Source organism: Homo sapiens, chromosome 1 (genome assembly GCF_000001405.40).
Source record: "Homo sapiens chromosome 1, GRCh38.p14 Primary Assembly".
Lineage (NCBI taxonomy): Eukaryota > Metazoa > Chordata > Mammalia > Primates > Hominidae > Homo > Homo sapiens.
The window spans coordinates 110,931,655-110,954,188 of record NC_000001.11 but is presented as its reverse complement, the minus strand read 5'-3'; the positions used below and the strand labels follow the sequence as shown (position 1 = coordinate 110,954,188).

General features: G+C 36.9%; 1 protein-coding gene across 4 annotated transcripts in view; it reads left to right on the top strand.

The window, feature by feature from the left end:
• Positions 1-22,534, top strand: part of LRIF1 (ligand dependent nuclear receptor interacting factor 1) — an 88,966-nt gene that overhangs the window by 9,734 nt on the left and 56,698 nt on the right. The window contains exons 2-4 of one of the 4 annotated variants that reach the window (XM_005271029.5): positions 1,374-2,901; positions 4,066-4,338; positions 5,793-6,999. In XM_005271029.5, coding sequence (XP_005271086.1) covers positions 1,374-2,901; positions 4,066-4,338; positions 5,793-6,230 — 2,239 coding nt within the window. In that variant the 3' untranslated portion in view covers positions 6,231-6,999. Of the gene's footprint in view, positions 1-1,373; positions 2,902-4,065; positions 4,339-5,789; positions 7,000-22,534 lie in introns of those variants that run through there. The other 3 variants (NM_018372.4, XM_017001769.3, NM_001006945.2) reach the window with 3 other exon arrangements.

The following is a 22,534-nucleotide window of genomic DNA, read 5'->3' as shown; positions in this document are numbered from 1 at the left end:
GTAAACCAAATTTCTACGGATACATAGAATTTTGGGTATTGATTTTTATTAATACCTGAGAGTTTTAAAAACATACCTTTATGCTTTTGAGAATCCTAATTATTATCGTTATTATTTGCCCTTGAACTTTTGTATTTATTTGATCTTAGTTATCTAAGACCATGCTAGGTCTATGGTATATGGATGCTGCACTCATATTGGTAGAATATAATATGAGAGACAGTCTATAGACAAACATATTAATATATGATGACAATCTATGATATATACCATGAAGGAAGCTAACAAGCATAATGTTATGGATTAATTATGAAGGAAAGACAAGGATAAAGTGGTCAGAAAATGTATCTCTTGAGAAATATCATTTATGCCAAGACTTGAGCTATGTGAAGAGTTGAGTTGGGTGAGGCGTACCTAGGTAGAGTGATAGTATGTGTGACATGAAAGCTCAATATTTCCCAGGAGCTGAAAAATGTTTTAGATATAAATAAGGTAAGGTATTTACATTCAAGTAATCTCCAAATAACTAATTATGCAAACAGAGATTAGTATATATTGATTTTTCTTAAGATTAGACAGTCTATACTAAGAAATAATTCAAGGCATGGGGGTCAGAATTGATTCAGTTAAAAAAAATTGATTTCCAGTCTGTTCCACATTGATTGAAAACCATTCAGCTGAAATTGCAGTGGTATTATATGTATGGGTTGATAGGTGATTGACAATTGACTAATATAAATAATTGCTATACCAGAGACTATGTAGCACTAAACCTCAAATGTGCTGAAACAGTAATCAGAAGAAAATGATTCCTATGTAAACAGTTCAGTGAAATCTATAGCACAAAAATGTGGCAAACTAAGGTAACACCATGAGAGATAGCTTAGGCAAAAGAAGAATGGCTGGCAGAACTTGTGAGTTATTGAAGGAAGAAGACAGAACAGATTGAGGGGGAAAAGAGAGAAATGGAATAAGAGTAAGGGGAGAGGGAATGAGAATCTTCAGTTAGAGTAGAGGAGGAGGACAAGAGGAAGGAATTCAGGGAAAGGGGGAAGGGAGGATGCTAATATTTTAAGAGGAGCTTACTTTAGTAGTATAATTTTATATAGGGCAAAACCTTAGAAATGTCTACTTTTAGTCTTAGGAATAAATGTTATTATCTCATACCCATTGCCTAATCATATAAGCAGTTGACTATATCATTATCTCTTCTACTTCAAAATATTTGTTTTGCAGTCTTTCACTTTAAAAACTCAAAATGGAAAATTATATACTTTATTTTAATATTTACAAATATTTACAAATATTTATTTTTAAATAAAATGTATATACCATGTAGTATGTTGTATTTATTTACTCAATGTTCTTTTAAGTGTTTCAGGCTGCATGTACCAAGTAGTTCAGACGATTGGCTCGGATGGAAAAAATCTTCTGCAATTACTTCCAATTCCTAAGTCTTCTGGAAATCTTATACCACTAGTTCAATCTTCAGTCATGTCTGATGCTTTGAAAGGGAATACAGGAAAACCAGTTCAAGTTACTTTTCAGACTCAGATTTCCAGCTCTTCCACAAGTGCATCAGTTCAATTGCCCATTTTTCAGCCAGCCAGTTCTTCAAACTATTTTCTTACAAGAACAGTAGATACATCAGAAAAAGGTAGAGTTACTTCTGTGGGAACTGGAAATTTTTCTTCATCAGTTTCTAAAGTTCAGAGTCATGGTGTGAAAATTGATGGACTCACCATGCAAACATTTGCTGTTCCTCCCTCAACACAAAAAGACTCATCTTTTATTGTAGTTAATACCCAGAGTCTTCCAGTGACTGTGAAGTCTCCAGTTTTGCCTTCTGGGCATCATTTACAGATTCCAGCCCATGCTGAAGTGAAATCTGTACCAGCGTCATCATTGCCTCCTTCAGTGCAGCAAAAGATACTTGCAACTGCCACCACCAGTACCTCAGGAATGGTTGAGGCCTCCCAAATGCCAACCGTTATTTATGTATCTCCTGTAAATACAGTGAAAAATGTAGTTACCAAGAACTTTCAAAACATTTACCCAAAACCTGTTACAGAAATAGCAAAGCCAGTAATACTAAATACCACACAAATTCCAAAGAATGTTGCTACAGAGACACAATTGAAAGGTGGTCAGCATTCTCAAGCTGCTCCAGTGAAATGGATTTTCCAAGATAATCTACAGCCTTTTACGCCATCTCTTGTTCCTGTTAAGTCTTCAAATAATGTGGCTTCAAAGATTTTAAAAACTTTTGTAGATAGGAAAAATTTGGGAGATAATACTATAAATATGCCACCATTGAGTACCATCGATCCTAGTGGGACGCGATCCAAAAATATGCCTATTAAAGATAATGCTTTGGTTATGTTTAATGGGAAAGTCTATCTGTTGGCTAAAAAGGGGACAGATGTTCTGCCATCACAAATTGACCAACAGAATTCTGTTTCTCCTGATACTCCAGTAAGAAAAGACACGTTACAGACAGTGAGTTCAAGTCCAGTCACAGAAATATCCAGAGAGGTTGTAAATATTGTTTTGGCTAAAAGTAAATCTTCCCAGATGGAGACAAAATCACTTTCCAATACCCAGCTTGCTTCCATGGCCAATCTAAGGGCAGAGAAGAATAAAGTGGAGAAACCATCTCCTTCTACCACAAATCCACATATGAACCAATCCAGTAACTACTTAAAACAGAGTAAGACTTTATTCACAAATCCAATCTTTCCAGTTGGATTTAGTACAGGACACAATGCCCCCAGAAAAGTAACAGCCGTCATTTATGCTAGAAAAGGAAGTGTCCTCCAGAGCATAGAGAAAATAAGTTCCTCTGTTGATGCAACAACTGTTACTTCACAACAGTGTGTTTTCAGAGACCAAGAACCAAAGGTAATTTTCCCATGTCAGGGTGCTCTTTTTATATATCTATATAGAAAAGTTTGTTTTCTTAATTCTCAAAGTTATCTATGATACCTCTTTCCCCCACTGCCAACCCCATCACACACAGACTATACACATATGAGTATTTAAGTCAAAACTTCCATCTGAGCAAATTTGAGGAGGAGTACAGTTGGGTACAATCTTGTACAAAGGAGTACAGTCTTTCTCTTGAATCACTTGGCATGCCAAATCTTTAAAACAAAAAATTCACAGAGCAAAAAGGTTTAGAAGAGTTGGGGAAGGATAATGTGAATTCAAAGCTTAGTAAAAATATGTGAGTATATGTATATACATACATGTATATATGTATGTTCATATATAATAGCCTTTTTAGTATATGAGGAGATCAATATGCATGTAAAAGAGTTGGTTTTGGGGTTTTGTGGGGTTTTTTTGTGGTGGTGGTGGTGGTATACCATGGAAAAGGTGAGACAGGGCTAATCAATACCTTTCAGTAATTTGTGGAAATAAGATTTTATCAGCATCTTTGATGGGTTGATTTTTTTTTTGGTAGACAAATTTCATTTTCCTTTTTATTAGCTCTTTGTGACTCCTCAGCCAGTTACCCAACATGCCCACATAGTTACCTTTATGTTCGACTTAAGGTTTGTCTGTCTGTGTGCTTACTAGATATTTGTACCCATCTTTTCCTTGCTTACTTAGAGGTCTACTCAATAATGTCAGCATTTCTCCCCTTCAGTACAGAATTCATTGAACTCCAGAGATGTAAGGAGGTAAATTCTGATTGTTCAATACAAGATCGATTAAAGGCATGTGTGACTTTTCCAGAAGACTACAATTTCTAAATAATGTCATATATGTTATTTTAACGTTGTCATTAGTCTGTATTCTCATTTTAGTTGTTTTAGAATTGACTACTTATTACCTTTCTAGTGCAACAAATTAATTGAGAAATTGTAGGGGGGAATATTTTAAGTTTGTACTTCCTTATATTCAGTTTTTTGAGTGTGGGTGGTAAGGCAAGGATAATACAAACCAATCATAAAGCATGATATGTTCTTTTATGTAAGATGAAATAATCACTTAGTTGCTTAATAAAGTAACTTGAATAATTAGCAGTATTGTTTGTGTGTTTTCTTTTCCTAATTCCAGATCCATAATGAGATGGCATCAACATCAGATAAAGGTGCCCAAGGAAGAAATGACAAGAAAGATTCTCAAGGAAGAAGTAATAAGGCATTACATCTGAAGAGTGATGCTGAATTTAAAAAGATATTTGGCCTTACTAAGGATTTGAGAGTGTGCCTTACTCGAATTCCTGACCATTTGACCTCTGGAGAAGGTTTCGATTCCTTTAGCAGTTTGGTAAAGAGTGGTACTTACAAAGAGACAGAGTTTATGGTGAAGGAAGGAGAGAGAAAACAGGTAGGTAATACATTTTAATGTGCTCTTCATAGGTACTACAAATGATACATGAATATTACTTTTCTTGATTTGGTTTTAACCCTTGTGCATTAGTATAAATGATGGTTGTTACTGGTTTTGCAAATACATAATACCAAAATGATATTTAAAACAACCAGGCCCCAGCACTTTGGAAGGCTGAGGCGGGTGGATCACCTGAGGTCAGGAATACAAGACCAGCCTGACCAACATGATGAAACCCCGTCTCTACTAAAAATACAAAAATTAGCTGGGCCTGGTGGTGGTTGCCTGTAATCCCAGCTACTCAGGAGGCTGAGGCAGGAGAATCACTTGAACCCGGGAGGCGGAGTTTGTAGTGAACCGAGATCGCACCATTGCACTCCAGCCCAGGCGACAGGGCAGGACTCCATCTCAAAAAAAAAAAAAAGAACCAGGCCAGGTGCAGTGGCTCACGCCTGTAATCCCAGCACTTTGGGAGGCTGAGGCGGGCGGATCACGAGGTCAAGAGATCGAGACCATCTTGGCCAACATGGTGAAACCCCGTCTCTACTAAAAATACAAAAAATTAGCTGGGTGAGGTAGCACGCACCTGTAGTCCCAACTACTTGGGAAGCTGAGGGCAGGAGAATCGCTTGAACCCGGAAGGCAGAGGTTGCAGTGAGCTGAGATCGCACCACTGCACTCCAGTCTGGCAACAGAACGAAACTCTGTCTCAAAAAAAAAATTATATATATATAAACACCGCCCACCCCACACACACACACGCACAGGTAAAAATGCATCCCAGTTAAAGATATGTTTTAATTTTTTTTATTCACCTACTACATTTTTTTCCCATTATGTTACAAGAAAATGGCCATAGCTTTTTAACTAGTCATCCTACTTTGAGGACTCTATCTAAAGGAAATAATTCAAATGTAGTAGAAGATATAAGCATGCATATGTTCTTAATAATAACCTTTTAAGCAACTTATATAGCTAATAATGATAAAAAGAAATGTCTATAACTTTGCCTACTGTTATACTTTGACTTATGAGTATGTCATTATCATGTAATATTCTGAACTTTAGATCAGAGACTAGTAAACCTTTTCGAATGAAAATCCTCCATATGTGCCTGCTGTGCAAAGGAAAAGAAAAAAACAATCAATTTTATATCTCAGGCACTTTACAAGTGCTATTATATTTCTGTGGTGAGTCAGTATGCCTTCTAATACTTGACTTGAGCAAGAAAATGTGAATTAGGCAATTTCTTCTTACTGAATATGATTAAGACATTTTGGTACCATACAGTGGGAAATATTTCCCTCTTGCTGTAGTTGTCTTCCATAAATTTTGTTAATTGTAATAGCTAGATATTTGTTTCTGCAGACGTTGTTAAGTTTGGTAGTACCCGGTGCATTTAGCAGTAACATTTCGTTTTTGTTTTGGAATGTTATTCAATATTGCAGCAGAATTTTGATAAGAAAAGAAAAGCAAAAACTAATAAGAAGATGGATCACATAAAGAAGAGAAAAACAGAGAATGCTTATAACGCAATCATAAATGGGGAAGCTAATGTCACCGGTTCCCAACTCCTAAGCAGTATTTTACCAACTTCAGATGTGTCACAACATAACATTCTCACGAGTCACAGCAAAACCAGACAAGAAAAGAGAACTGAGATGGAATACTATACCCATGAGAAGCAAGAGAAAGGCACTTTGAATTCAAATGCAGCTTATGAACAAAGTCATTTCTTCAATAAAAATTATACCGAAGATATTTTCCCAGTGACACCACCGGAGTTAGAAGAAACCATTCGAGATGAAAAAATAAGAAGACTTAAGCAGGTGCTGAGAGAGAAAGAAGCAGCTCTTGAAGAAATGCGTAAGAAGATGCACCAAAAATAAAATCTCCTGTAAAGACTTCAGTGAAATAGCTGTTTTTTAAAATATACTTCAGCATTAATAAGTTAATTGTAGGTGTGTTCTGAAAGTGTCTTTGAATATGAAGCTTGTTTTTTCATCAGTCGATTGTACAACTTTAAGGAATACAGAAAAGGTTGATTCACATATGACTTGTGAATAATTTACATGGGGTATCTATACCTTTGTCTTAGATACCTTTTTTTGGAAGGATAAATTTTATATTTTTCTATTATTTTAACTAGAATTCTCCAAGTTTGAATATTTGGGCAGGGTTTTTGTTATTGTTTGTATCTTTACCTAAATTGCTCAGGCATTATTCCAGCAGTAGATAGTGACTGTGTATTACTGAAATTTTACAATTCAAGAGAGGAAATCAGCTCCAAACTTAGCTTTTCCAGTGGATTTGTATATGTACTTGCTTTATCTCTTTACCCTTAAAATGATGATACCTTGTATTCACCATTGTTTTTTTTAATGTCGTGAAATAATATGTATTATGGCAACATTATTTAAACATTCAAACATTTCTCAAGAATGAGCAACATTTGTAACTTTACAATGTAATTTTATATAATCCAAAGGTATTTTAGAATTCAGGCCATTTGATGTTTTGTTTGCTTATAGTGATGTGTTCCCAGGCAAATGCTGCTTTTTTTTTTTTTGGGACTATGTACATACGTTACTGAGATTGTGTAAAAAGTAGATCCTGAACAGTTATCACATTTAATATTTCTTAAACTGTAAAAGTGTATTTTCTCTGTCTGGTTAATCTTTGATTTGGGAAAGTTTGGGAATGGTGTAGGGATAGGGATTAAGAGATGGGGAGTTAGCTGAGCGTGGTGGTGTGTTTGTAGTCCCAGCTACTCAGGAGTCTGAGTGGGGAGGACTGCTTGAGCCCAGGAGTTTGAGGCCAGCCTGGGCAGCACAGTGAGACCCTGTCTCTTAAAGGAGGAGGAGGAGAACAATGTTATTAAAAAATGATCAGGCCGGGTGCAGTGGCTCACATCTGTAATCCCAGCACTTTGGGAGGCCGAGGCGGGCGGATCACCTGAGGTCAGGAGTTTGAGACAAGCCTGGCCAACATGGCGAAACCCTGTCTCTACTAAAAATACAAAAATTAGTCGGGCACAGTGGCGGGCACCTGTAATCCTAACTAAGGAGGCTGAGGCAGGAGAATCGCTTGAACCTGGGAGGCAGAAGTTGCAGTGAGCCAAGATTGTGCCACTACTGCACTACAGCCTGGGCGACAGAGCCAGACTCCGTCTCAAAAAAAAAAAAAAAAAAAAAAAGGATCAAATCTCTGGAAGTAAGAGAGGTTAAAGAAAAAAAAAATCTGTGCAATGGCAACAAAAGAGTAAATCAGAAAATACTGTAAAGAAGTGAAATACACAGATCAGCTAGATTTTGCTGCTTTCTATTAACAGCTGTTTTGCAATATAATTCATGTACTGTAAAATCCAGCTTTTTAAAGTACACAGTTCTCTGGTTTTTAATATGTTTACAGAGTTGTACAACCATCAACACTATAATTTTAGAACATTTTCAAAATGTTCAAAACATCCCCCAAACAAACCTTATACCCATTAGCAGTCATTCCCCATCACCTCTCCTTATGCCATAGGCAAGCACTAAAAAGCTTTCTGTCTTTATGGAATTGCCTGTTGTGAACATTTCATATATATGGAATCATACAATATGTTTTTCTTTGTGATTGGTGTTTTTTTACTTAGTCTAATGTTTTCAAGGTTTATCCATGTTGTAGCATTTATCAGCACTTCATTATTTATTGCTGAATAATATTCCATCATGGATATACCACATTTTATCCATTCGTTATGAATATTTGGATTGTTTCCACTTTTGGCAGCTACAAGTAATGTTGCTGTGTATATTTGTGTACAAGGTTTTTTAATGGGTATATATTTTCAGTTCTCTTGGGTATATACCTAGGACTGTAATTGCTGGGTCATACAATAACTGTGTTTAACTATGTTTTGAGGAACTGCCAAACTATTTCAGTCAGGTTTTGCTCTCCCCACACCACATAAACATACTGTCAAGGTCACCAGTGACTTCCATATTACTAGATTCAGTAGTCAATTGTCAGTCTTCTTGATTTATCAGCAGAATGTAATTTCATGAATCATCACTTCCTTTGAAAAATGTTGAAACATTCTGTCATAGAAACAGTGCAAATGTATTGTAGAAAATATAGGCCAGGCGCAGTGGCTCACACCTGTAATCCCAGCACTTTGGGAAGCCGAGGTGGGCAGATCACCTGAGGTAAGGAGTTTGAGACCAGTCTGACCAACACTGGTGAAACCCCGTCTCTACTAAAAGTAGAAAAATTAGCTGGGCATGGTTGTGCATGCCTGTAATCTCGGCTACTGGGAATGCTGGGGCAGGAGAATTGCTTGAACCCGGGAGGTGGAGGTTGCAGTGAGTGGAGATGGTGCCACTGCACTCCAGCCTGGGCAACAGAATGAGACTCCGTCTCAAAGGAAGGAGAGAGGGAGGGAGGGAGGGGAAAGAGGAACGGAAGAAGGAAGAGGGGGAGGGAAGGGCAAGTGAAATATTAAAAATTGAAAATATAGCAAGCAAAATATTAAAAACTAGAACTTCATATTCCCATCCAAAGTTTACCACTAATACCTTATATATCCTTTCTGATCATTCTGTGTGCGTCATACATACATATATTTTTGATCAAAATGAGGTCCTTATTTACACTATTCTGAATCCTGCTTTTAAAGTCAAGAATTGGCCTGGCATACTCATACCTGTAATCCTTACACTTTGGAAGTCTGAGGCAGGAGGATCACTTGAGGCCAGGAGTTCGGCTGGGCAATGGCAATAGACCCCATCTTTGCCAAAAATTTAGCCAGGTGTGGTGGCATGTGCCTGTAGTCCCAGCTACTTGGGAGGCTGAGGTGGAAAGATCACTTGAGCCTAGTGGGTCAAGGTCGTAGTGAACTGTGAACATGCCACTGCATTCCAGTCTGGTTGACAGAGTGAGAACATACCTTTAAAAAAAAAAAAAAAAACAGCAACCTTGAGCTTTCCCTTTCAGTGTTTTCATCTCTAATACTAAAGCTAAATTTACCAATTTGGCCTCAAAACGTTTTTTACCACTGGTTTTTCTAAAGCAGTATTAAATCTAGGTCTATGTGTCTTATCTAGCTGTTATACCCTGTAGAGCTTTTAAGTGAGTGGTTTTGTTTTTAAAATTTTTAATGACATTGATTTAGAGACCAGCTATTTGTCCTGACTCCTTTTCTCCTTGATATACTTTCATTTCACTTCTGAAAGACCACACTTCTGCCTCATTGACTAGTCATTCTCAGTCTCCTTGCTGATCCCTTCCTTCTCCCTAATCTCTTTACATTAAAACACCTGAGGACTCAGTCCACGGTTTGCCTCTTTGCTTATACTCACTCTCTTGGTGATCTCATCCAGTTTCATGGCTTTAAGTACTATCAATGTACTGCCAACTTGCAGTTTTTATCTTTTATTTCCAGGCTTTCTTGAATTCCAGCTGCCTATTTAATATCTCTATTGGATGTCTAAATAGACATCTCAAACCTATGTTCAAGACAGAAATCTTGCTCTTCCCTCAAACTAGCTGCACCCACAGGTTTTCTCATTTCAGCTGATGACAACCGCATCCTACCAGTTGCTCAGGCAAAATCTTGAAGTCATGCTTTACTCCTTGCTCTCACACCTCACACCCAATACAAATTTTGTTGGTTCTGCTTTCAAAATACTCCAAATATGACCACTTTTTATTGTCAGTGCTATCATCAGCCCTGAATTGGATTATTGGTAGCCTCATAAGTTATCTTTCTTATTCCACTTTTGTGCCCCTACTTTCATCTCAGTAAAACAGTCAGAGTGATCCTTTTAAAACATAACCTAAGCCATTCCCCATTACCCTTCAATGTTTCCTCATTTCATGGAAAATAAGAACCACTATCTGAGGACTAGAGATTCAAGGTGAGCAAAGTGGATTAAGCACAGCTCTTAAAATTTCTGTAATATGCTATTGTAGCCCTCTACTTGTCTTTAGATAAAGAAGTTGAAATTTTTGCCTCAAAGATGATGGTTGAACTGAGATCTGAAGAAAAAGCAGGAATTAAATAAGAAAAGGGACAGATTAAAATAACTTTCCCAGCAGGGGAAACAGCAAACTTAAAGGTTCTAAGGCACAAGAGAGCATGGCATATATGAAGAACCAAAAGAGTGGCCAGATATCCAGACATCTAGAAGGTCTAGCTAAGTACTTAGGAAGTAGTATAAACAGAAAAGAAAAAATTGTGGCCTCTTTTTTAAAAAAATGATTTTAGTTAATTTTAAAGACTGGAAGAAGAAGAGATTAAATTAGTTATATTTATAAATACTTGGAATAGTACCTGACACGTAGTAATCATCAATGTTTGGTTAAATAAATCCTAATAAATATATTGCATCTACCTTTTTTGACTTAAATTTAGCCTCCTTTTTTATTTTTCTGCTCCTTATTAAAGCTTTGCTGCTCATGAAAGTCATCAAACACCTGTATTTCTTCTGATGTTGTATTTCATGATACTGAAATGCGCCTTGAATACTTCACAACATTATTCTTCATAATTTGTCCAATGCTGCTGGTCTCTTACTTAACTTTATTCTGAAATTCAGTCAAATTAGAGTTTTATCTTTTCTGCAAGAGCATTCTAAAGCTGCTGTTGTCAAGGTCTCCAATAACTATCATATTGCTAAATCTAATGGTCAATTCTTAGTCTCTTACTTGACCTGTCAATAGCATTTGACACTTTTGATCATTTTGTCTTCACTGCAATTTGTTCTTCACTCTGCTTCAGGGACATAATAATCTTTTTTTTCCTCATACCTCGTTGACTGCTTCTTCTTAGTCTCTTTGGCTAGTTCCTCCCCTTCTCTATGATCTCTTAATGTTGGAGTTATTTAGAGCTCAATCTTTTTATGTCTCTTATTTTACATCTATATGATCTTACCTAGTTCTCATGGATCAAAATACCGTCTATATTCAGGAACTCCTCTTTTGACTCCAAAATTGTATATCCAATTGCCTTCTTGACATTTCTACTTGGAAGTCTAATGGGCATCTCAAAATCAACACAGGCCAAAATCAGCTTCTGGTTATTACCCACCCAAAATTTGCCTCAACCAAGATCTTCTGTATCTTAGTTAATGATAAATTCAGGCTTCCACTTGATCAGGTGGAAATCCTTTGGAGTCCACCTTAATTTTTCCTTTGTCTCGTGCCTTACAACCAGTCTGTTAGGAAATTCTCTTGGTTTACATTCAAATTATACCTGGAATCCGACCATTGCTCACCACCTCTACTGTGATTAGCTTGCATTATATCTCTCATCTAGATTATTGAATAATCAACTAACTGTCTCTCTGCTTCTACCAGTGTCCTACAGCTTGTCCTCAGCACAATAGCCAAGTGATTTTGTTAAAATTTAAGGAAGGAGAAAGGACCAAAAACTCAATAGAGAAATGAGAAACGAAACATACACAGAGAAAATTCACCCTAAAAAAATAAAAATGACCTTAAAACATAGGGAAAATGTTTAAATTCACTTGAAACTAGGCGTATGCAAATTAAAACCACTCAGATACCATTTATCACTTTCCAGACTCCATGAAATGTAAAAATATGGCAATACATTCTGTTGGGAAGGCTGTGGGAAAATAGGTACATTCATACATTGCTGATGGGAATGCAAAAGTTTATTAGTTGCAATATTGTTCTTAGTTGCAAAGTATTGGAAGCAACCTAAATTCCCATCCACAGGAGAGTGATTTAATAAACTATAGCATGTCATGCAGTGGAATATTAAATAGGTATAAGAAAAGAATGAGGAAGAGCTCTATGAACTAATATGGAGTGATTTCCAAGATGGACTGTCAAATGAAAAAAGCAAAGCACAAAAGAGTATCCATAGCATGCTACCTTCATGTAGGAAAGAAAGGATATAGAAAGTAAATAGTTATCTGCTCATTTGTTCAAAAGAAATACAGGAAAGATAAAATACTAGTAAGGCTGATTACCTAGAGGGAAAGGAATAAAGAAGGAAATGAGGTTAGCAAGGATGAAGTACAGTAACATTTCTTTGATTATATCTTTCTGTGTAGCTCTGACTCTTGGAATCATAATTATGTCTCACATACCCTTCACATAATCCCAAATAAATAAATGATAAAACCAACCAAGAAGTGTGGGAAACCCTAAATGGAATACAAATACTAACAAATGAAAGTAAATGTATTAAGAATGAATAACAACCACAGTTAAGCAAGTGAGGAAGAAAATAACTAGGTAACTCTAAGTATCTTTTCTGGGCAATAAAAGGCTAATGACAAAAAGAATGGTACTAAAGTGCTGTAATCTAGTTAGTAAAAGGGTTTCTTGCAGGGGTATGAATTAGTGCTACTGAAGCTACCTTTACATGTACATTAGAATTGAACAACTAAGTACATATATTGTAGATAATAAGAGCCAGGTTTCTCACTGTTGGAGAAAGACTTATTAAAAGAAAGGAGGTAGGCCAAAATACACCCTGTAATGTTGGATTGGAGTAAGAGGTGTCAGTATAAATTAATGGTTCTTAATATAAATGTAGACAGATTAAGAAATATACATGTGACTATATCTGTGGCATAGTATATACATTTATACATTTCCTAACTCTTAAAGGGCCTAGAAGCAGTGAAACTTCAGAGTAATGAGCACATTTAACACCAGATCTTGTTTTTTATCTTCTTTTTTTACTTTAAACTTTTTATTTTTAATTTTTGTGAGTACATAGTAGGTGTATATATTCATGGAATACATGAGATATTTTAATATAGGCATGTAATGAGAAATAATCACATCATGAAGAATAGGGTACCCACCTTTTCAAACATTTATCCTTTGTGTTACAAGAAATCCAGTTACACTCTTCTAGTTATTTTAAAATGTTCAATCAACTTATTGTTGACTAGAGTCATGCTATTGTGCTATCAAATAGTAGGTCTTATTCATTCTTTCTATTTTTATGTATCCATTAACAATCCCTACCTCCCCCTCCAGTGCCCAAGTACCCTTCCCAGCCTCTGATAACTATCCTACTATCTCCATGAGTTCAATTGTTTTGATTTTTAGATCTCATAAATAAGTGAGAACATGCAATGTTTGTCTTTCTGTGTCTGGCTTATTTCACTTAACATAATAACCTCCAGTTCCATCCATGTTGTTGCAAATGACAGGGTGTCATTCTTTTAATTACTGAATAGTACTCCATTGTGTAAATGCACTACATTTTATTTATCCATTCATTTGTTGATAGACACTTAGGTTGCTTCCAAATCTTGCCTATTGTGAACATTGTGGCAACAAACATGGAAGTTCAGATATCTCTTCAATATACTGATTTCTTTTTTTGGAGGGTACATACCCAGCAGTGGGATTTCTGGATATATGGTAGCTCTATTTTTATTTTTTTCAGGAACCTCCAAACTGTTCTCAATAGTAGTTGTGCTAATGTACATTCCCACCAACAGTGTAGGAGAGTTCCCTTTCTCCACATCCTAGCCAGCATTTGTTATTGCCTGTCTTTTGGATAAAAACCATTTTAACTGGGGAGAAATGATATCTCATTGTAGTTTTGACTTTCATTCTCTGATGATCAGTGATGTTGAACACATTTTCATATGCCTGCTTGCTATTTGTATGTCTTCTTTTGAGAAATGTGTATTCAAATCTTTTGCTCATTTTTTGATCAGATTTTTTTTTCCTGTTGAGTTGTTAGAGCTCCTTACGTATTCTGGTTTTTAATCCCTTGTCAGATGGGTAGTTTGCAAATATTTTGTCCCATTCTGGAGGTTGTCTCTTCACTTTGTTGATTGTTTCCTTTGCTGTGCAGAAGCTTCTTAACTTGATGTGATCCCATTTGTCCGTTTTTGCTTTGGTTGTCTGTGTTTGTGGGGTACTACTCAAGAAATTTTTGCTCAGACAAATGTCCTGGAGATTTTCATCAATGTTTTCTTATAGTAGTTTCATAGTTTGAGGTCTTAGATTTAATCCTTTAGTCTACTTTGTATATGACTTTTGTATATGGCGAGAAATAGGAGTCTAGTTTCATTCTTCTGCATGTGGATATCTAGTTTCCCAGAACTATTTACTGAAGAGAATGTCTTTTCCCCAGTATATTTTCTTGGCACCTTTGTCAAAAATGAGTTCACTGTAAATGTGTGGATTCGTTTCCAGGTTCTCTGTTCTGTTCCATGGGTCTGTCTGGTTTTATGCCAATGCCATGCTGTTTTGGTTATTATAGTTCTGTGGCATAATTTAAAGTCAGGTAATATGATTCCTCCAGTTTTGTTCTTTTTGCTTAAGATAGCTTTGGCTCTTCTTGGTCTTTTGTGGTTCCATATAAGTTTTTGGATAGTTTTTTTTTCTATTTCTGTGATGAATGTCATTGGTACTTTGATAGGGATTGCATTGAATCTATAGATTGCTTTAGGTAGTTTGGACTTTTTTTTTTTTTTTTTTTTTGAGACGGAGTCTCGCTGTGTCTCCCAGGTTGGAGTGCAGTGGCGCGATCTCGGCTCACTGCAAGCTCCGCCTCCCAGGTTCATGCCATTCTCCTGCCTCAGCCTCCCAAGTAGCTGGGACTACAGGCGCCCGCCAACACGCCCGGCTAATTTTTTGTATTTTTAGTAGAAATGGGGTTTCACCGTGTTAGCCAAGATGGTCTCGATCTCCTGACCTTGTGATCCGCCCGTCTCGGCCTCCCAAAGTGCTAGGATTACAGGCGTGAGCCAGGACATTTTTAACTATATTGATTCTTTTGCTCCATGAACGTGGAATTTTTATTTTGGTGTTCTCTTCAATTTCTTTCATCAGTGTTTTATAGTTTTTATTATAGAGGTCTTTCACTTCTTTGATTAATTCCTAGATATTAATTTTATTTGTAGCTATCGTAAATGGGATTACTTTTTTCATATTGTTCACTGTTTGCCTATAGAAATGCTACTGATGTTGATTTTTTATGTTGTTTTTGTATCCTGGAACTTTACTGATTTTTTAAATTAGTTCTAATAGTTTTTTGGTGGAGTCTTTAAGCTTTTTGACTATAAGATCATATCATCTGCAAACAAAAATAATTTGACCTCTTCCTGTCCAATCTGGATGCCCTTTATTTCTTTCTCTTGGCTGACTTCTCTAGCTAGAACTTCCAGTACTATGCTGAATAACAGTGGTGAAAGTGGGCATCCTTATTGTGTTCCAGATCTTAGAGGAAAGGCTTTCAGTTATTCCCCATTCAGTATGATACTAGCTATGGGACCATCATATATGGCTTTTTTAAATGTTGAAGTGTGTTCCTTCTATCCCAAGTTCTTTGAGGGTTTTTGTCATGAAAGATGTTGAATTTTATCAAATACTTTTTCAGTATCAATTGAAATGATCATATCATTTTTATCTTTCATTCTGTTGATATGATGTGTCATGTTAATCGATTTGTGTATGTTGTACCATCCTTGCATCCCAGGGATAAATCCCACTTAGTCATGATGAATTATCTTTCTAATATATTGTTGGATTTGGCTTGTTAGTATTTTGATGAGTATTTTTGCATCAATATTCATCAGAGATATTGGCCTGTAGTTTTCATTTTTCATGTGTCTTTGTCTGGTTTTGGTATCAGGGAAATACTGGCCTCATAGAATGAGTTTGGAAGTATTCCTTCCTCCTCATTTTTTCAGAATAGTTTGAGTGAGATTGGTATTAGTTCTTCTCTCGATGCTTGATAGAATTGAGTAGTGAAGCCATTGGGTCTTGGGCTTTTCTTTACCGGAAGACTTTTTATTATGACTTTGATCTTACTATTTTTATTGGTCTTTTCAGATTTTGGATTTCTTCATAGTTCAATCTTGGAACATTATATGTGTCTAGGAATTTGTTCATGTTCTCAGGTTTTCTAATTTATTGGCATATAGTTGCTCATAGTAGCCTCTAATGATCCTTTGAATTTCTGCAGTATCAGTTGTAATGCTCCTTTTTCATTTCTGATTTTATTAATTTGTGTCTCCTTTTTTCTTCTTAGTCTGGCTAAAGGTTTGTAAATTTTGTTTAACTTTTCAAAAAACCATTTTGTTTCATTGATCTTTTGTATTTTCTCTATTTCAATTTCATTTATTTCTGCTCTTTATTATTTCTTTTCTTCTACTAATTTTGGGTGAGGTTTGCTCTTGCTTTTCTAGTTCTTTAAGATGCATTGTTAGATTGTTTATTTGAAGTTTTCCCCTTTTTGATGTAGGCACTTATAGCTATAAACTTCACTCTTAGTACTGCCTTTGTTGTATCCTGTAAGTTTTGGTATGTTGTGTTTCCATTATCACTTGTTTCAAGAAATTTTTCAATTTCCTTTTTAATTTCTTCATCAACCCACTGGTCATTCTGGAGCATATTGTTTAATTTCCATGTATTTGTATAGTTTTCAAGGTTCTTCTTGTTATTAATTTCTAGTTTTATTCCATTGTGATCAGAGAAGATGCTTGATATTATTTCAATTTTTTTGAATGTTTTAAGACTCGTTTTGTTACCTAAAATATGGTATATCCTTGAGATTTATTCATGTATTGAGGAGAAGCATGTGTATTCTGCAGCCGAGGGATGAAATGTTCTATAATTATCTGTAAGTCCATTTGGTCAATAGTGCAGATTAGGTCTGATGTTTCTTTGTTGATTTTCTGTCTGAAAGATATGTCCAATGCTGAATATTGGGTGTTCAAGTCTCCAGCTATTATTGTATTAGGGTCTATCCCTCGCCTTAGCTCTAATAATATTTGGTTTATATATCTGGGTGCTCAAGGCATGCATATTTAAAATTGTTATATCCTCTTGCTGAATTGACCTCTTTATCATTATAGAATGACCTTCCTTGTCTCTTCTGATAGTTTTTGTCTTGTAATATATTTTGTATGATATAAGTATAGCTACTCATGCTCTTTTTGGGTTTCCATTGGAATGGAATATCTTTTTCCATCCCTTTATTTGTAGTCTATATGTGTCTTTATAGTTGAATTGTGTTTCTTGTAGGCAACAGATTAATGAATATTGTTTTTTCATCCACTCAGCCATTCTCTTTTAATTGGAGAGTTTAGTCCATTTACATTCAATGTTATTATTGATAAGTAAGAGCTTACTCTGGCCATTTTGTTATTTGTTTTCTGGTCTTCTCCTCCTTCTTTCTTTCCTCCTGTCTTCCTTTAGTGAAGGTAGTTTTTTCTGGTGATATGATTTAGTTTCTTGCTTTTTATTTTTTGTGTATTCATTGTATGTTTTTTGTTTGAGATCACCGTGAAGCTTGCAAATACCATCTTTTAAACCATTATTTCAATCCGATAACTACTTAACACTGTGTGTATAAACAAACAAAGAAGCAAAAACAAAGCTAATAAAAAGTATATGCCTTAACTTCATCCTTCAACTTTTTAACTTTTTCCTGTTTCTATGTATATCTTATTGTACTATGTCATTAAAAGTTATTGCTATTTGTGATTGGTTCATTGGTCAGTCTTTCTTTTTAGGATAAGAGTAGTTTACATACCACAGTTACAGTGTTAGAATATTCTGTGTTTTTTCTGTGTACCATTACCAGTGTGTTTTGTACCCTTAGATGATTGCTTATTGCTTGTTAATGTCCTTTTCTTTCTGACTGAGGTACTCCCTTTAGCATTGTTGTAGAATAGACCTGGTGTTGATGAAAGCCCTCAGCTTTTGTTTGTCTGGGAAAGTCTTTATTTCACCTTCATGTGTGAAGAATATTTTTGCTGAATATACTATTCTAGGTTAAAAAGTTTTTTCCTTCATCATGTTAAATATGTCATGCCACTCTCTCTTGGCCTATAAGTTTTCCACTGGAAAGTCTGCTGCCAGATATATCGGAGCTCCATTGTATGTTATTTTTTTTTTCTCTTGCTGCTTTTAGAAATATTTCTTTATACTTGATCTTTGGGAGTTTGATTATTAAATGCCTTGAGGTAGTCTTCTTTGGAGTAAATCTGCTCATTGTTCCATAACATTCTTGTATATGGATATTGATATATTTTTCTAGGTTTGGGAAGTTCTCTATTATTATCCCTTTGAATAGGCTTTCTAGTTCTCTCTCTCTCTACCTCCTCTTTAAGGCCAATAACTCTTAAATTTACCCTTCTGAGGCTATTTTCTAGATCCTGTAGGTATGCTTTATTGTTTTTTATTCTTTTTTATCTCCTCTGACTGTATTTTCAAATAACAGGTCTTTAAGCTCACTAATTCTTTCTTCCGCCTGATCAATTCTGCTATTAAAATATTCTGATGCATTCTTCAATATGCCAACTGCATTTTTTAGCTCCAAAATTTCTGCTGAAAAAATTGTAATTCTTTTAAATTATTTCAATCTCTTTGTTAAACATATCTGATCAAATTCTGAATTCCTTCTCTGTGTTATCTTGAATTTCTGTGAGTTTCCTTAACACAGCTATTTTAAATTCTGTGTCTGAAAGGTCATATATCTCCGTTTCTTCAGGATTAGTCCTTGGTACCTTATTTAGTTCATTTGGTGAGGTCATGATTTCCTGCATGGTGTTGATGCTAGTAGATGTTCATTGGTGTCTGGGCATAGAAGAGTTAGGTATTTATTATAGTCTTCACTCTCTGGGCTTGTTTGTACCTGTCCTTTTTGGGAAAGTTTTTCAGATATTCTAAAGGACTTAAGTGTTGTGCTCTAAGTTGTATCTGTTTTATGGGGCACCCCAAGCTCAGTAATTCTGTGGTTCTTGCAGACTCATAGAGGTACTGCCTTGACGGTCTTGGACAAATCCAGAATTCTCTGGATTACTAGGCAGAGGCTCCTGTTCTCTTTCCTCACTTTCTTCCAAAGAAGCAGAGTGTTTCTCTCTGTCCTGAACCACCTAAAGCTGGGGATGAAGTGACACAAGCACCTCTGTGGCCACCACCACTATGACAATGCTGTGTCATACCTGAAGCTAGCATAGCACTGGATCTCACTCAAGATACTACCCCCTGGCTATTGTCTATGTTCACTTAAGGCCCTGGGACTCTACAATCAGCAGGTGGCAAAGCCAGCCAGGCCCGCCTCCTTCCCTTTAGGTTGGAAAGTTCCCTCAGGCCCTGCGTAGGTCCAGAGGTGCCACCTGGAAGTCAGGGACTAGGGTAAAAAACCTTAGACATCTACCTGGTGTTCTATTATACTGTGACTGAACCAGCATTCAAACTACAAAACACAGTGTTTCCCACTCTTCCTTCCCCTTTCCAAAGGCGGAGGAGCCTCATGCTGTAGCCACTGCCACCACAAGCCATGGAGAGTACTGCTGGAGGACCTCCAATGTTTTCTTAAGGCCCAAGAGCTTGTCAGTTAGCTGTGGTGAATCTTGCCCAGCCTGAGAATCACCCTTAATGGCAGGGGGCTCCCTTCCGACACAGGGCAGGTCCAAGGATGCCATCTAAGAGTCAAATCCTGGAATCGGGGAACCCAAGAGCATGCTTGGTTCTTGATCCGCCTGTTGCCATGCTGGTACCTAAGGTGCAAGACAAAGTCTCCTTTACTTTTCCTTCTGCTTTTCTCAAGCAGAGGAGTTTCATCCAATAACCACCATAGCTGGTAATGTGCTGAGTCTCACCTGAAGCCAGCAAGTCTCAGTGGCTCACCTAAAGCCCTCAACATAGTACCTGGGTATCACTGCTAGTAATTCAGGACTGAAGGGCTTTTCAGTTAGCAGGTGATGAATGCTGCCAGGACTGGGTCCTTCCCTTCAAGGCAGCAGGTTCCCTTCTCATCCAGGGTGTGTTTAGAAATGTCATCCAGGAGCTAGGGTCTGGAACAAGGGTCTCTGAACTCTGACCTGTGCCCCATCCTTCTGTGGCTGAGCTGGTATACAAGATACAAGACAAAGTCCCTCCTACTATTCCCTTTCCTCTCCTCAGGCAGAAGGAAGGGGTCTCTTTTGGAGCTGTGATCTGTGCACCCTGTGGTTAGGGGAGAGGTTATGTCAGCACTCCTTTAGCCACCCCAGCTGGTGTCTCCATAGGTCACATGTCCCCCAAGTCTACTGTTTCTTGGCCCAGTTCAGCACATGGACTCACCTGTGAGTTGTAGTCCTTATAGCCTGGACTGCCTTTCAAGTTTACTAAGCAACTCAGAATACTGTAGCTCTCCATGGCAAGGTTTGCATTAACTCAAGTTTCGACCTCTGGGATGGGTGATTCCCCTCTGGCTAGGGCTGGTTTAAGTTCTCCCTCCATGGGTGGGCATCAGGTGAGTTTCGTTTTCTCCAACAAGACAGCACTGAGTTCAATGCCCCGCAATTGCTGTGCTCTCCCTCCTCAGCACCCAGAGATGCCCTCCACACAACCTGGCCTCTACACCACCTGGCTGCTGTTGGGGGGTTTGGGGAGGGGTGGTGTCAGTGATTCAAGGCTTTTTTTTCTATGTCTTCAAGGCCTCTTTCAGCAGTACATAGTTAAAACCAGGTACTGAGTGCTCACCTGATTTTTGGTTCTTATGAAGGTGTTCTTTCTGTGTAGATAGTTGCTAAATTAGTGACCTTGTGGGGGCAGCAGGGACCATTGGTGGAGCCGTCTATTCTGCCATCTTGCTCTGCCTCAAGATCTTGGCTTCTAAACAACATTCTCAACATGAGAAACCAGTGCTTTTTGGAGAAGCTGATTTCGGAGCTGAGCAAGGAAAATATAAGATGAGCCTAGAGCATCTTGTGATGTCAGAAGGTAATTAAATATTTTGTAATAAATGGGGGCTTATCAAAGAAACAGAGGAGCCAACCTAAAGAAGTTACTAACAACCAAAGTTGGAATAATTTGAACAATAAAATAAATAGTATTTGACCTCTAGAATAAAATATACCTATTAATCTATACCAATATGAGACTGAAGCACTGCCAACTATCCCAAGAGGGAAACTTTTTAATCTATACCAATATAAAAATCAAGTAAATAAATGAGGGGAGAGGAAGCATTCTTCATTACAGTTGAATTCCAATTAATAATTGTTGATGGAAAGAGAAAATAGAGATTCATCACTGCAAATGCCCTAGTAATAGTAGCTGCAGACAAGATTCACCAATGGATGCTAAAATGAGTGGGCAAAAGTTCGAGGAGAAATAGGATTTCCATAGCCTCCAAAGAAGATACTTATTAAATATAAACAGAAAGATAGCAGCTTTGTAGCAGAGAAACCTAGCAGATACCAACAAAAATGATCAAGATAAGCATCAATAATAAAACATTACATGCTCATGGATAGGAAGAATCAATATCGTAAAAATGGCCGTATTGCCCAAGGTAATTCATAGATTCAATGCTATCCCCATTAAGCTACCACTGAGTTTCTTCACAGAATTGGAAAAAACTACTTTAAAGTTCACATGGAACCAAAAAAGAGCCCACATTGCCAAGACAATCCTAAGCAAAAAGAACAAAGCTGGAGGCATCACGCTACCTGACTTCAAACTATACTACAAGGTTACAGTAACCAAAACAGCATGGTACTGGTACCAAAACAGATATATAGACCAATGGAACAGTACAGAGGCATCAGAAATAACACCACACATCTACAACCATCTGATCTTTGACAAACCTGACAAAAACAAGAAATGGGGAAAGATTCCCTATTTAATAAATGGTGCTGGGAAAACTGGCTAGCCATATGTAGAAAGCTGAAACTGGATCCCTTACTTACACCGTATTCAAAAATTCACTCAAAATGGATTGAAGACTTAAATGTAAGACCTAACACCATAAAAACCCTAGAAGAAAGTCTAGGCAATACCATTCAGGACATAGGCATGGGCAAAGACTTCATGACTAAAACACCAAAAGCAATGGCAACAAAAGCCAAAATAGACAAATGGGATCTAATTAAACCAAAGAGCTTCTGCACAGCAAAAGAAACTCATCAGAGTGAACAGGCAACCTACAGAATGGGAGAAAATCTTTGCAATCTACCCATCTGATAAAGGGCTAATATCCAGAATATACAAAGAACTTAAACAAATTTCCAAGAAAAAAACAAACAACTCCAACAAAAAGGGGGCAAAGGATATGAACAGACACATCTCAAAAGAATACATTTATGCAGCCAACAAACATATGAAAAAATGCTCATCATCATTGGTCATCAGAGAAATGCAAATCAAAACCACAATGAGATACCATCTCATGCCAGTTAGAATGGCGAGCATTTAAAAGTCA